General features: G+C 42.8%; 1 protein-coding gene across 4 annotated transcripts in view; it reads left to right on the forward strand.

The window, feature by feature from the left end:
• Positions 1-14,784, forward strand: part of ITPR1 (inositol 1,4,5-trisphosphate receptor type 1) — a 354,159-nt gene that overhangs the window by 24,929 nt on the left and 314,446 nt on the right. For all 4 annotated transcript variants that reach the window (NM_001378452.1, NM_001099952.4, NM_001168272.2 and 1 more), the window contains 1 exon segment: positions 2,748-2,818. In NM_001378452.1, coding sequence (NP_001365381.1) covers positions 2,748-2,818 — 71 coding nt within the window.

Genomic DNA, 14,784 nt, shown 5'->3' on the forward strand with positions numbered 1-14,784 from the left:
CCCCCGGGATCTTAGTACCTTCTTTCTCTTCCAGGGCATCTCTTCTTTAAAATCATATGAAGTGCTTTTTAAGTGTTTTCCTCAAACATTGTAAACAAATTAATGATGAGTCCCTCCTGCCCTTTTAAAGTGAGGAGGGCTTCTTTTTGAACTTTGGGTTGCTAATACTTTCTTGAGATGAATACTTTATTTTCTCAGTTGCTTGCACATATTTGAGGATAGCAGTGTAAAAATGGGGTTGGAAAGAAAGTTTGACAACCCTTCCTGTTTTTAATATTTATGGGGGACCTGTTGTGGACTACGGTGAGTGAGTGCCAGTCGTTATGGGACTCACTGTGTAGCACTCCAGCCCCATCCCATTTATATAGATGGTGGTTACCTCCAAATGGCTTCATCTACTGGTTGAACTTGAGAACTCCAATAGGATCTTGGAGGGCAAGTGTGTGTGTGTGCACACTACTCAGTGGCATGCTTCTGAATTGCCTTTTTAGCTTGTTAAAAATAAAGGTTCAGCTTGGTGCGGTAGCTAACGCCTGTAATCCCAGCTACTTGGGAGGCTGAGATGGGAGGATCCTTTGAGACCAGGAGCTCAAGACCAGCTTTTAAGACCAGCCTGGGCAATATAGCAAGAACCCTGTCTCTTTATAAAAACAAGACGGGCAGGATTCTTGGGCCTCATCCTACAGCACAGCTTTAGTAAGCTGGGTTGACAGAGTCCTGGCGTCAGTATATTTGGAAACAATAAGTCTGATGAACATCCCCCTCGTTAAGAATCCCTGAGACCAACTTTCATTTTACAGATGAAAAAACTGAGACCGGTAGGGGTAAAATGCCACAGTCATGATCATGCCGCTAGTAGGTGGCAGAGTGCCATCTACAATTCATTTGTCATCTGAGCTTGACTGGGGCTCCTCTTACCACTTCCTCCCCATTTGAGAACTTGATGATTTATTTATTTTTTTTTTTCTTGAGATGGAGTCTCACTCTGTCGCCAGGCTGGAGTGCAGTGGCACGATCTTGGCTCACTGCACCCTCCACCTCCTGGGTTCAAGCAATTCATCTGCCTCAGCCTCCCATGTAGCTGGGACTACAGGCGCCTGCCACCACGCCCAGCTAATTTTTGAATTTCTAGTAGTGACAGGATTTTGCCATGTTGGCCAGAATGGTCTCAATCTCTTGACCTCGTGATCCGCCTGTCTCGGCCTCCCAAAGTGCTGGGATTACAGGTGTGAGCCACCATGCCTGGCCATGGCTTGATGATTTATTAACCTAGCCCTACCTTGGATTCTGAGCCCACCCTGTCAAGCATTATGTTAGCTCTGGGGGCATTACTATACTTACAGGAGCTTAAGGTGGTGGTTTTATATATGTATATTCTGCTCTTGATTTTTACATGAGAACTCAGGCCATTGGCTACACTGTTCTTCTTGTTTATACAGTGAAGTCTTGTGTCATGAAGCTGAAGGAGGCAAACTGCTGGTGGGGTACCATGGACACTTTGATTTACCCACCAAATAGATACTGAGCTGCCAGCCTTGGGCATCTTCTGGCCTTCATGGAGCTGGTAGCCTGGTGCCCCTTTGGAGTCTCAGTCAGTGAGGTTGGGAGGACAGAGAAGGAGAGGCAGAGAGTGTCTGGCGCAGGAGAAGCTTGGTCGGGGGGGCTTTGTGGAGAAGGTGGGGCTCTTACCCTGAGTCCTGAAAGACAGGCAGGACTTGAGGAGGCAAAAGGGAATCTTGGAGAATAGAACAGTAAGGGTCAAGGCTGAATATTTAATGGTACCTTGCATTTGGGATGAGAGGAGGCAGCACAGATGAATGGAGGAACCCTGGAAAACCATGGTGTGTTAGCTGGGAACAACTGCAAGTTCTGTGGTCACTTGGAAGATTAGCCAGTTCTATCAGTACCAGTTTTAGGAGCTTGGACAAGTTGTGTAACTTCTCAGAGTCTCAGTTCCCTCATCTGTTCAAAAATATATTTTTAAGTGGTTCTTCTAAAAGAATTGTGCAAGTTAGACTTAGCAGTCAGGACTTTAAATACTGAGTCTTTATGTAATGTGAGCTTATTTATTTGTAATTTTTTGTACTTTCCCCACTAGTTGCTTTTGATGCTCCACAGTCCTTTCATATCTTCATGAGTTTGTGCTCATGGTTCTTTCCACCTGGAAACGCTCCCCTCTAGCCTCCAACATCTATTTCGAATCTTCCAGTAGTTCCATTAGAACTTCCTCTGTCTGCAGCTTCTCAGATGACCTCAGGCACAGTTCGCTTCTGGCTGTATTTTTTTTTCTTCCTTCTCTTACAGCCCTTAGATTATATTCTCCTTATCAGTTTGTTCTTAAGGCTCCTGCACTAGCCTTGAGCTCCCAAAGAGCAAGGGCCTGGCTCATATTCACCTGGCACAAAGTCAGCTCCTCAGCTACCCTTAGTTGAATGCAACAGCCCCTTGCTGTGTCTCGCGACTTCAGCCACCTTGCATGCTATACTCAGATCTACCATGGACATGGTTATGGGAAAGGAGCCACAGAAAACAGTAGCCTTAATGTGTCCTTCACAGAACAGAACCCTGGGCTTTTGGATTAGGTTTAGATCCATGCATAGGAAGCCTCTAGTGTAAAGAGTTCCTGGCAGGAGAATATGGCAATCTAAATGTTGCGCAGGAAAAGCCCTGGGATATCTGATTTTTGCATAGTGCTAAGAGTTTCATTTTCATACACTTGACAGAGCATTTATCTGTCTTCTTTACAGCCTGGTTGATGATCGTTGTGTTGTACAGCCAGAAACCGGGGACCTTAACAATCCACCTAAGAAATTCAGAGGTAAGGTGGTGGCTTTCCTGGAGTAGTCACCTTGACTCACTTGAAAATTCTTGAAGTGTGTTGTTGGTGTGTGTGTGTGTTTATAAGCAAAATAGGCTTATTTATTATGTATTTTTTTCAGAGTATGATTTGAGTTCTAAGCTTTACAACTTGAAAAATGCATACATAAATTTAGTATCAAGATTGGGTTGGCTTTTACTGGGTCCTTAATTTGTCTATTGAATATGTGTTGACAAGTGCTAATTCGGTTTAAAGTCTTACATTTGTACAGGTATTTCTTCAAACAAATAGTATTTATGGATCCAGTCACAGGGAACATTCATTATTTCAGCAGATCTCACTGTCCGTTTGGGGATGCTGATATTCTTAGATACCTTCTTTAAGAGGTATCTAATGATACCTCACTGAATGTCTCACTGGAATGAAACGTTCTTAATTATTGCACTTGTTTTTTGAGTTAAAAGACATAGGCAGGCTGGGCACAGTGGCGCATGCTTGTAATCTCAGCACTTTGGGAGGCCAGGGTGTGGAGATTGCTAGAGCCTGGGAATTCTAGACGAGTCTGGGAATTCTAGACCAGCCTGGGCAACATGGTGAAACACTGTCTCTACTGAAAATACAGAAATTAGCTGGGTGTGGTAGCATGCACCTGTAGTCCCAGCTACTCAGGAGGCTGAGGTTGGGAGGATCACCTGAGCCTGGGAGTTCCAGGCTACTGTGAACCGAGATCGCACCACTGTACTCCAGCCTGGGCGACAAAGTGAGACCCTGTCTCAAAAACAAAAACAAAAACAAAAACAAAAACAAGACATAGGCAGGGCAGCTTTTCTACCCAAATTAGTTTTTTCTTTAGGCCTCCTGAATTTGGTATCTTTCTCCAAAGGTAGCTTAGTTTATTGTAGGAGGTCTTTGAAATACACTTGGTATCTTAGATGATAAACATTTGTTTTTCTTTTTTGTTGTTGTGGTTAGTGGTCCTCAGCTCTAGGCACATGTTAGAATCATCTGAGGAAGTTTTTAAATTAAATAGATGCTTGGGGCTCCATTGTAGAGCTTAGGGATCAACTATAGAGCCCTAACATCTATTTATTAATTAAATTATTTATCAATTAAGGTAACCTCTGGAATTGGGGATGATTCTTTACAGCCAGGGCGGAAAACCACTGGGTTAGGTATTTGACTGATGACTTCAGTCCCAAAGGGCTCAAATCTTGCCATTTGCAGATTATATAACTCAAGTTCTAAGTTCTTATTGTTTAGTGGTTTAGAAACTGTTTGACTTTTTTGGATAAAAGCTAAATAAATTAGAATAAAATAGAACTCAGACGTTCAGATGGAGAAAAGCCATTTGGAAGACATTTGGTGTTGAGTTGCATCCAGTTGGCGTGAGACAATCAGGAGAATGTTTTCACCTGAGGATGGGTGGTGGTAGGGGAGGCTGTTAAAGAGAGAGAATAACAGTTGTTGATACAAGTTGTAAGAGGAACCCAAGGCGGCTACTGCCTCCACCGCCTTTTTCTTCTCAATCCTTCTTTCATGTTTCCTTCCAAGACAAGACAAAATCTTGAGTGCTGCAAAAATGAAATGTTTCGTCCAACGATCATAATTCAGTCACTCATAGAATTACTTCCCCACTGTGAATATTAAAAGGGACAAGATCAATTGACTGTGCCAGGCCCTGTGCTAAGCACTCTGCCTGCATTAGCTCAGGGAGCCATCCCTCCTCCCTAGGAAGAGATTGATACCCTCGGAACTTAAGAACCTTGTCTGAGGTCACATGGCTGGTGACGGATGGAGTGGGAGCCATGGTTCTCAACTTTGGCTGCACAGGGAGATCACCTGGAGAACTCTCAGAAACACTGATAGCTGAATCCAGCTCAGGGATTTTGAGTTAACTGGGCATTGGGATTTTTGAAAGCTTCTCAGGTGTTTCTCTTGTGCTGCCAAGGTTAAGAACCATGGCTAATGAAATCTAGGCTAATAAAACTTGAACTTTGTTATTCAGGGAAGAGCTGATCTAGGTTTCGCTTTTGCAGCTGGGACCAAGGGGAGGGATATGCGTCCGGAAGGCATTGCTTGGGTCCAGCGTGAGCTCTTATCTTGTTCTATATACGGGCCTTGGGAGCTGGGAGATGAACCTGGGAGAGATTCTAATGTACTGTACGAAGTTAACTAGTGGCTATTTGTTTTTTACAAATACATGCACATAATTTAAAATTTTGTTTTTTAAATCGACATATATTTATGGTGTACAACATGATGTTTTAGAATATGCATGTATAGTGGAATGGCTAAATTGAGTTAATTCATATATACATTACCTCACATGCTTATTATTTTTTTTGGTGAGAACATTTAAAAACTACTCTTAGTGAGTTTCAAATATACGGTGTATTGTTATTTGCTGTAGTCACTGTGTTGTACAGTAGATCTCTGGAACTTATTCCTCCTAACTGAAATCTGTATCCCTTGGCCAACCTCTCAATCCTCCACCCCAGCCCCTGGTGACCACTGTTCCACTCTCTGTTTCTAGGAGTTCAATCTTTTTAGATTCCACATATAAGCAAGATCATGTGGTATTCGTCTTTCTGTGCCTGGCTTATTTCACTTAGCATAATGTCCTCCGGGTTCATTCATGTTGTCACAAATGAACCAGGGACTGTTTGAATACAGGGTTAGAATGTTAAAAATAAATAGGACTATAGCAGGGGAAGTCGGAGGAGACATGTTTTTCTGGCACGACTGTAAAGGTGCCTGGTGCTTGGATGTATGTATGGTGGCTGATTTGAAGTGACTGTTTTGAGATAACGGTAATAGTCTGACAGAAGCTATTTGGAAGGAAGCAAACTCCTTTTACAGCCTGGCCTGGTTCTACAGGTGGTCACGTGACAGTGACTTGATTTGTTGAGTGCTTTTCTCCCTAAATTAAAAATAAAGGTTTCTGGGTTGTGAGATGCTTCGTCCTTGTGGGAAAATCTGGTTCAAAACAAGCTCTGCTGCAGGCTTTGGGAATGTAGGTCAGGACTTCCTTAATTCCATGTGCTAAACCAGAGGTCCCCTGCACCCAGGTGAGGGGCCTAGGCAGCTCTGCCTTTGCAGGCTGCCTCAGTGCTGGAAAGATCTGCTTCTCCACCGTGGAACTTGGGCAGTGAGTTTTAAAAAATTTTCCAAAGCATTCCTTCAACTGCGGTGCAGCATACTTTGACGTTTTTTTTTTTTTTTTTTTTTTTTTTTAAATGAAGAGAAAGATCTCTCTTTTGGAAGCAATTGCTGCGTTTCCAAATATAAGTGTATTTTGGAGCTGAAGTCATTTTGATGTTTAGAAATTGTGCATAGGGCAGTTGGGCAATTTGGAGGCATTTCTAGTCCATTTCCTCATGGACTCGTTGCACCCTAGAGTTTAACAAACACATATGGAAAAGTGAGATGCTGGCAAGCAGCCGAATGGGATGATGGAGTCTTTATCTGAGCAATCAGCAGAGCTGCATGTAGTCATTTGGGTTTGCTCTTGCTTCCATTGTTTCCTTGCCAAGTTATTTCCTATATTGAGAACCATCATAACCTGTTCTTAAGTAAATGGAAATCCAAGGCCTGTTTATGCAATATTCCCCATGGCTTCTGACTTTGCATCTTTAATTTTGTGAGCTCCTGAGATCTGCAGCCCTAATGGTTAATAAAAGAGGCTCTTGGATCAGGCTTCCTGGTTCATATCCAAGTTCCATGAATTCTTTGCTGTGTGACCCTGAACAGATTACTTCACCTTTGCCAACCTTGGTTTTCTCACCTGTAAAATGGGAGAGGATAATAGGCTCTATCTCATAAGGTCATTGAGAAGATTAATTGTGTGTTAAGAATTTAGTACGGGGGGAGTCTGACCCTTAGTTAAGAGTTTAAGCCTTATTCTTTTCTTTGTATTCCCAGTACTTAGTACAGAGCCTGGTACTTGTAAATCTCATGTTTAATTTTATGAGAATAATTATATATTGTTATTTTTTTTTTGTCTTCAAATTGTTTGTGGGTGGGGACGTGCACATGAACCCCTGGGCTTGGATTTGAGCCCCAGTGCTCGTGTATGCAAGCTGAGTAACCTTGATAGATTCCATAATATTTCTCAGCTTCTTTCCTCACTTGTGAGTTAGGGTCAAACAATTCCATCCTTATCAAGATAATATGCATAAAAAGCCTAATAGAGTGCTTAGTACACAGTAGTTGTTCAGTGAGTGGTTGCTGTTAATTTTCACAGTAGATATAGAAGAGTTCAACATCGAACAGAAGATATAGAAGAGTTCAACATCGAACACACTTGCTTTTTTTTCTCTGATGGTTGAAAGTACATTTCCAAAGTGAATTGCTTTTTTTGTGTGTGTGTGTGATTTCCTTGAATGTATCTCTTGCCTCTAACTTCCTCTGTAGGAAGAAAAGGTTGGCTGCACATCTGTTTCACATAAGCCACATCTTTTTCATCTGAATGAATTTTGGACAATATCATTGTCCTCGTAAGGGATGAGGAGAGCTGAGACTTAGAATAATACAGCAACTTTAGTTCTTTTATTAATATGGTACCATTTTAAAGCCCCAACATCCATGGAAGGTAAGGCAGAACCTCCTCTTCTCCCTGATTTGTGTTGTCTTTGCCCATAATCTTGAAAGAATAGAGAAGGCAAACATCAGATTGAAACAGGGAATAGAAACTTTGTGGTTAGTGAATTCCTTTATCTGTATTATCTTTTCCTCTTCCCACTTTTACCAGTCCCTCCCCCAGCTCCCCCGGTGCTAAATATAAAGATATCTACAAAGAAAAGGTGGAAACTAACAACCAGTCTTCATTTTGCTCCCAGAATCTCTGCTCTTTTTAAATATAAATCACCTCCAGGGTTGTTGGAGTAGAAACAAGGGAACTGGGCTTTTGGGCAATTAGATAGGCTTTAGTGTTGATCATGCCATTATTGCATAAGATTCGGGCAACAGTCAGGCTCTTGCTTTCAAAACCTAATCTTCTCTGTTCACATCAAGAGGCCAGTCATGGCTCCAAATTCTTGATGTTGGACAGATGTTACCATATCAATAATATCAAAATGTGCAGCTTTTAACTTTGCAGGGAGCCCCTTAGTTTCAGAATAAAAGCTGTTCGAAGGGAAACTTACAGTTCAAAATGAGGAGAAGTTGGGGCAGGAAAAAATGAGGTGAAAGGAATCATTATTCTATCACTAAGTGGTTCATATGAATTGGGGAGGGGATCAGACAGACTGAATATGTGGATGTTCCAGATAAGTATCTTACATTTCTCTTTCCCAGTGAAGTTGGTTTCAAGCATCATAGTCTAATCTAAGCAAATGTATTGTGAAAAATGAGTGTTGACCTCCAGCGCTGAGGCCCTACTGTGTACCAGCTGCTGGCCTTGGTGATGGCAGGACAAGATGAGTTACACTCCTTCTTGCTTTCAGGAGTCTTAGAGTTTCATGGAGAAACAGACCCACATTATAAGTTACAATAGCCAATGTTAATACAGCATTTATTTTGTGCAAAGCACTTCCTTTGAATTATCTCTTTTAATCTGAGGAACCCACCTATGAGGTGTAGGTCTTGATGTTCCCATTATGCAGTTGAGGAAATGGAAGCTCTAAGAAGTTGGGTAACTTGCCCATAGTCAGTTAAATGTCACTTCTTAGAATGATTATCATTCATTTCACAAACACTTATTGGGTAGTTCCCATGTGCCAGCCATTTGTACTCCATGAGGAAAGAGACATTCTCAAAGAAGTCTACATCAATATGTAGTGAAAATCTTTAAGAAACTTCTTTAGAGTAATTTGTTGTCTTCACTGCAACTATTTATATATAAGTAGAAGCAAAGCAGGTGAAATTTCTTCCTACCTAGTATAAAACCTGGCCTACTGGGGAAAAGTAAATGAGGATGCTTTTCATGTCCTAATCTTTCGCTGTGCAGCACCCTGAGACCAGAGCGCATCTATTTGGTACCTGATGCCATTTGAGATGACAAGTTATGAGCTGGTCCAGTGCCATGTGACTTATGAGTGTCGTAGCCAGAGCCCTCTTCCAAAGGCTGGGCCCAGTGCTTTTCTTCCTTTGTAGTTTTATGGAGACAAGGTCTCACTCTGTTGCCCAGGCTGGATTGCAATTGTGTGGTCATGGCTCACTGCAGCCTCGACCTTCTGGGTTCAAACCATCCTCCTTCCTAAGCCTCCCGAGTAGCTGGGACTACGGACATACCCCATCATGCCTGGCTTCTTTTTAAATTTTTGTAGAGATGGGGGTCTTGTATGGTGCTCAGGCTGGTCTTGAACTCATGGCCCCAAGCCATCCACCACCTTGGCCTCTCAAATTGCTGGGATTACTGGTGTGAGCCACTGCACCCTGCCACACTTAATGCACTTTTAGCCATTGCCCCAACCAGCTGTGGGATGCGCAGTATGTTACTTACAGTAGGATGAGTCCTGTTTGTAGTGCAAACGAGGGTCTGGCCTGGGGCAGTATAACCCAGTTTCTGGGCATTTCCAGAGTAAAATGTTGGTGGAAGACCCCTGGTTCCTCAACATATGCCCGGCTAGAAATAATGACAGTCTGAGTATTGTGCAGTCACCATGATACTGGCATGGAGAAGAGTATGTTGCTTGGCTATAATGAGCCGCTCTTGGACCTAAAGCATGGCCATGAACTTGAGGATCACACTTGTGGCCTTTTTATTTTTATTGGTGCCTTCTTTCCCCAGTCCCAGAGTGCTGGCACCATGTTAGCCCCTTTTAGTAGCATGCTGGTGGATTTAGTAGGATTATTTTATTGAGAGAGAGAAGGGTTTTACATCTCATGCAAGCTCTTTGTAATTGACTTTGAAACCTCCCAGCAGCTTAGGAAGGGTCCTCAAATAAGAATGGCATTTTTCATGCTTGAGTGATAAGAAACACTTGAGTGTCAATAGCCTACTTCTCTGATCTTGGTCTTGCCTGCAATTTAGGTTAAATATAGGGGAAAGAGCAACCTCTGGATGCCAGAGCTAGCATCCAGCCCAGAATCTGCCATGAACTGCTCCAATACCTTGGAGAAGTGATTTCGTCTCTCTTAGCCTCAGTTTCCCCATCTGTTAAATTGGGTTTTTCCAAGATTTCATCCAGCTTGAAACTTTGCTATTAGTGGCGGAAACAGGCAGGTTAACGTTAGAAGCCTTGTGCTGTCCAGAAATAGGTTCTTATTTCTTTGGGATTACAGGTCTCTTTGTCAAGATAGATGAGTGCTGGTAATAGCCAGGCCTTAACCTTACCCTTAGGCCAGATGGGGACACAGGCAGGGTCTTGGGTCACAAAGGTCATCTAGGGTGGCTATAACAAACTCACCGGCTTAGCTTTCTTTCAAACGACCCTCCTTTGCCGCACATTGTTTTAAATGTTGCTAAGCAACAGTATTTTTTGATTTTTTTCTTTTGGCAAGGCATCGAAGGAATGAATCCGTATCTTACTTAGTTTTAAATACCCTCATGCAAAGGGGAGGGCCTAACTTAAATTTTGTTTGTTCTTTTGATTCTAATCCATGACAGGCCTTTCATAGTAGGGGTATAGGACTTACTTTCTGCCTGTCTTGTTAAATAAGGCAGAAAAATCAGTCTATTTAAGGTGCTTGTCAAGTATATGCCTTGAGGCATATTGAAGGTTTCAAGAGTGTGTGCAGCTGCCTTGTAGGAGAGTCTCCTCCAACTTGTTCTGTATTCACAAAATCAATTCAAATTTAATAAAAAGATTAATAGTTTTTTGTAATCTTCATTTCAGATTTACTAGTTTATCTCAATCTTGGACCAACAGACTCCATTTAAAGGGAACAAAACTGTAATTTAAGTCAATTCCCTGGGCAACATAGAATGTTCACAGTGTGTTACACAATCGCTGGGGATGGTGCCTGCTGCCTGATTATGCTGGAGTCCCACACACTGCAGCGTATCCCTCACTGGATTGCTGCCTACTTGCTTCAAGCTATGAGATGCATGTCTGAAGGCTCTGGGTACCCTGAAAATGAGCATAAGGGAATTTGTGTTTACTTTGATGCCCTGGATCCATTCTTTTTTGCATACCTGAGTCACCCTGGAAAGTAGACCTCAGACCCCTCTTTTATAGTCATTTACCCTTATGATTTAGTTGCTAATGGAGAACCATTTTCACTATGTGCATAAAATGCTTCTAGTGCAATAAATAAGTTTACCTTGTCCTCCAATTGAATCACTGTATTGCTTTTGTGACTTCCTCCATTGAGGGTGAAATTGATTTGGAAATCTCAGCAAGCGTAATGGGGTCATATTGTCATATTGTCATATTGTTATATGGTTCTCCTGAAAGCAGTATACTGTGGTTGATTACGGACTTTTTCTTTTGGCAAAGGGTTTTATAATCCCGTCTTGAGCATTGATGAAGATGTGTGGTGAATCACTTGAGCTTATGATAACTCTTTTCCTTTCTTGTTTGACATGTGAGAAAATTAGAGGGATTTAGAAAGTCTCCTGGGGTCAAAGAGCAATCCTGTGCCAAAACTAGGGTTGGGGCACAACCCCAGTTTCTACTCACACTGTCTTTTAGGCTTCTGTGTTTGAGCCATGAATTAAAAATTTTTTTTGGTTCCATCACCCTGTGTAATTAATGATAACCTACTTTTTATAAATGCAAATAATAGTGAATACCTTGTGTAGTGCTAAGAGACATTAGTGAATATAATCTATTTAATTAATATACTTTACATACACTCATTTATTTAATCCTCATAACAACCCCATAAGTAAGACCGGTACCTTTCTACAGATGAGGAAACTGACATGTAAGATGTTTAGTGTCTGGTCCAAGATCACGTAGCTAGAAGTGGCAGAGCTGGGATTTGAACCCAGTCAATCTAACACCATAAATCCTCCTCTTAACAGCTACTCTAAACTGCCTTTAGAAGTGGACTGGCCTTGAAATATTCTTTGACAAAAATTACCCGATTTCTTAACTTCCTCCTCTGCAACCCCAAAGTATGTCATTGTGAGCTGCATTGACACAGAAGAAAAAGTCTACAGACAAGAGGGGCATGCTAACCGCCTACTTAACAATCTTGAGTATAGTATTTATCACTATCTGATAAATACACAGCTACTGTTTTCTCCTCGCCAGATTTTGGAGCACTCAAAGGGACCAAATCTTGCCCTGCACTCCTGGCCCAGCACCTGGCATAATGTTGGTCCTTCTTTAAATACTGGTTGAAAAGGAATTGGTGTTCTTTTCTGATATGATTTTGACTGCTCCCAGTTCTAGCAGTGTTTTTGCTGACATTTTAAATTGAATGGCCGCTGATCTTTTTACACTGATGACTTAACGCTGCCCTGTAATCTTGCTCCAAACTACCTGAGCCTGTTACTCTTGAAAAGCTTTCCTGTAGGCTGGGCATGGTGGCTCATGCCTGCAATCCCAGAACTTTGAGAGGCCAAGGCGGGAGGATGGCTTGAGCCTAGGAGTTTGAGACCTGCCTGGGCAACAAAGTGAGATCCTGTCTCTACAAAAAATGAAATTAGCCAAGCATGGTGGTGGTCACATGTAGTCCCTGCTACACAGGAGGCTGAGGCAGGAGGGTTGCTTGAGCCCAGTAGGTTGAGGCCGCAGTGAGCCATGTTTGCACCACTGCACTCCAGCCTGGGCAACAGAGCAAGACTCAACAACAACAACAACAACAACCCCTAAAACTGTCTTGTAGTTGACTCGTCTTCTCCCTGGAAAGTGGATCTTATTGGTCTCATTCTCTGAGAGTGTCTTCTCCTTGACTCCTAATGTTTGATCTTTTTTCTCTCTTTCATGCCTATAGTTTTGAGATTCCTTGGCTGCATTCAGTACATGAGCATGAAAAACAAATAATTGTTAAGTACCTTCCTCCTTTGTGCTTGGCTTTCTGATAGGGTCATGCATGCTTTTGTTCTTGACCGTTGGAGCACACTGTGACATGGGTACTGTTATGTCCCCATTTTACAGTTGGGCACCCTGAACCCACAGAGGGTTAGCAATCAAGGTGTATCTGGGATTTGAACCTATGTCTGGAGGACCACACAGTGTCTGCCACTTAAGTGAATTCACAGAGTTGGGCTGCTCAGAAAACACTTGAGGCTTCTGATGTCCTAGGTTCCACATTTCAAAGGCATGTTGCTTCGTGGGAATAAAGCTAACGCAGGGGTAACTTGGAGGCTAGGTCTCCATTCGATATTGAATGATGACGTTTTAGATTAGCTCCGGCAACAACATTTCTCACCAAAGTTGCTGCACAGACTCCTCACCTGTTTCTGTAATTCCACCTTTGCCTCCTTTGTGTCTGAGTGTGGACACCTCCTCCAATCCACCGTTTACTGCGGCTAGGGGAATCAGCACAGGTCTGAAGATGTCATTCAGCTGCTTGGAACCTCATAGTGGTTCCCCAGTTGTGCTCAGGATAAAAGACACACTCTCAGGGTTCCCAGCAGTCTGCATGAGTCACCACTGCTTACCTCTCAGCCTTATCTGCAGTAACTCCTCCAGGTTCTCTGCTCCATCCAGATGGATTGACTTCCTTCTGGCAGTCAGAATACTTGCTCTGTACTCTGGGACTTTGCATGTCCTGTTTCTTCTGCCTGAAATGATCTCCCTATCTCTGTTGTTCCTTCCTGGACCCCCCAGTCTTTCTAATGCCCACTCAACCTTCAAATCTCAGGCATCTCCTCTGGGGCACCTTTACTGAACCTTTGTGTGCAGGCAAGCAGCTGCTCCTTTTGCACAGACTCTGAAGCCAGACCCTGTGGGTTTGGCTCTCAGCCCTGCTTTTGACTGGTCATGTCATCTCAGATGTATTACTTAACCTGGCAATGCCTCCACTTTCTCATCTGGAAAATGGGGAAATTATTATGTATACCTCACAGGGTTTTCATGAGGATTAAATGAGTTAATCTGTGTAAAGCACTTACGGGACTACCTGGTCCATATTAAATGCCATAACACTGCTAATTTTTGGTTTTGACTTTTAACTTGATGGTTTTGACTTAGCCCTTCCCCCCTATTGCATTAACTGTGAGGACAGAAACCATGCCTGTCTCCCTAAGGCTTTGCACAGGTTCTGGACTATATTAGGAACTAAAATGTTTGTGGAATGAATGAAGAGAGACCTCTAAGGCATTGCTTCTGAGATCTGACTGCGTATAGGAACCACCTGGAATCTTGTTAAAGTGTAGATTCTAATTAGGTAGTCTGAAGTGAGACCTGAGATTCTACATTTCTTTTTTATTTATTTTATTTTTATTTTTTGAGATAGGGTCTTGCTCTGTAGCTCAGGCTGGAGAGCAGTGATGCAATCAAGGCCCACCGCAGCCTTGACTTCCCAGGCTTAAGTGATCTTCCCCCCTCAGCCTCCTAATCCTGAGTAGCTGGGATTACAGGCGTGTGTCACCACACCCAGCTAATTTTTGTATTTTTTGTAGAGACGGGGTTTCGCCACGTTGCCCAGGCTGGTCTTAAACTCCTGGGCTCAACTGATCCTCCCACTTTGTCCTCCAAAAGTATCGGGATTACAGGCATGAGCCACGGCACCCTGCCGAGATTCTACATTTCTAACAAGTTGTCATGCTCCTGCAAGGCTCTCGGGAGCCACTGACTGTTATCTTCCCTTATTTTATGGCTGTCCTATAGAAGACAGATGTTCTGAGCCCAGAGCAATAGAGAATGAGGGCTAGTGGATCAAAGTGCCCAGAGGTAGAATATGAGGCTTAAAAGAACTTAATTCTGACTATTAGTGCTGAGCAGTTACTCAAAGAAGAGGCCTGCTTCAAATTACTGAGTTTCCCCCGATTCAAAGAGGGCTGACCATCTGTCGGGGATTTTGCAGAGGGAATTTCTGCTCTGGGACAGAGGTTAGATGGATGATTCCATTTGACTGTGTGTGTTTTCCCACCGAAGGACCCAGCTGTTCTTTCTGTTTTTGCTTCC

Source organism: Homo sapiens, chromosome 3 (assembly GCF_000001405.40).
Source record: "Homo sapiens chromosome 3, GRCh38.p14 Primary Assembly".
Classification (NCBI taxonomy): domain Eukaryota; kingdom Metazoa; phylum Chordata; class Mammalia; order Primates; family Hominidae; genus Homo; species Homo sapiens.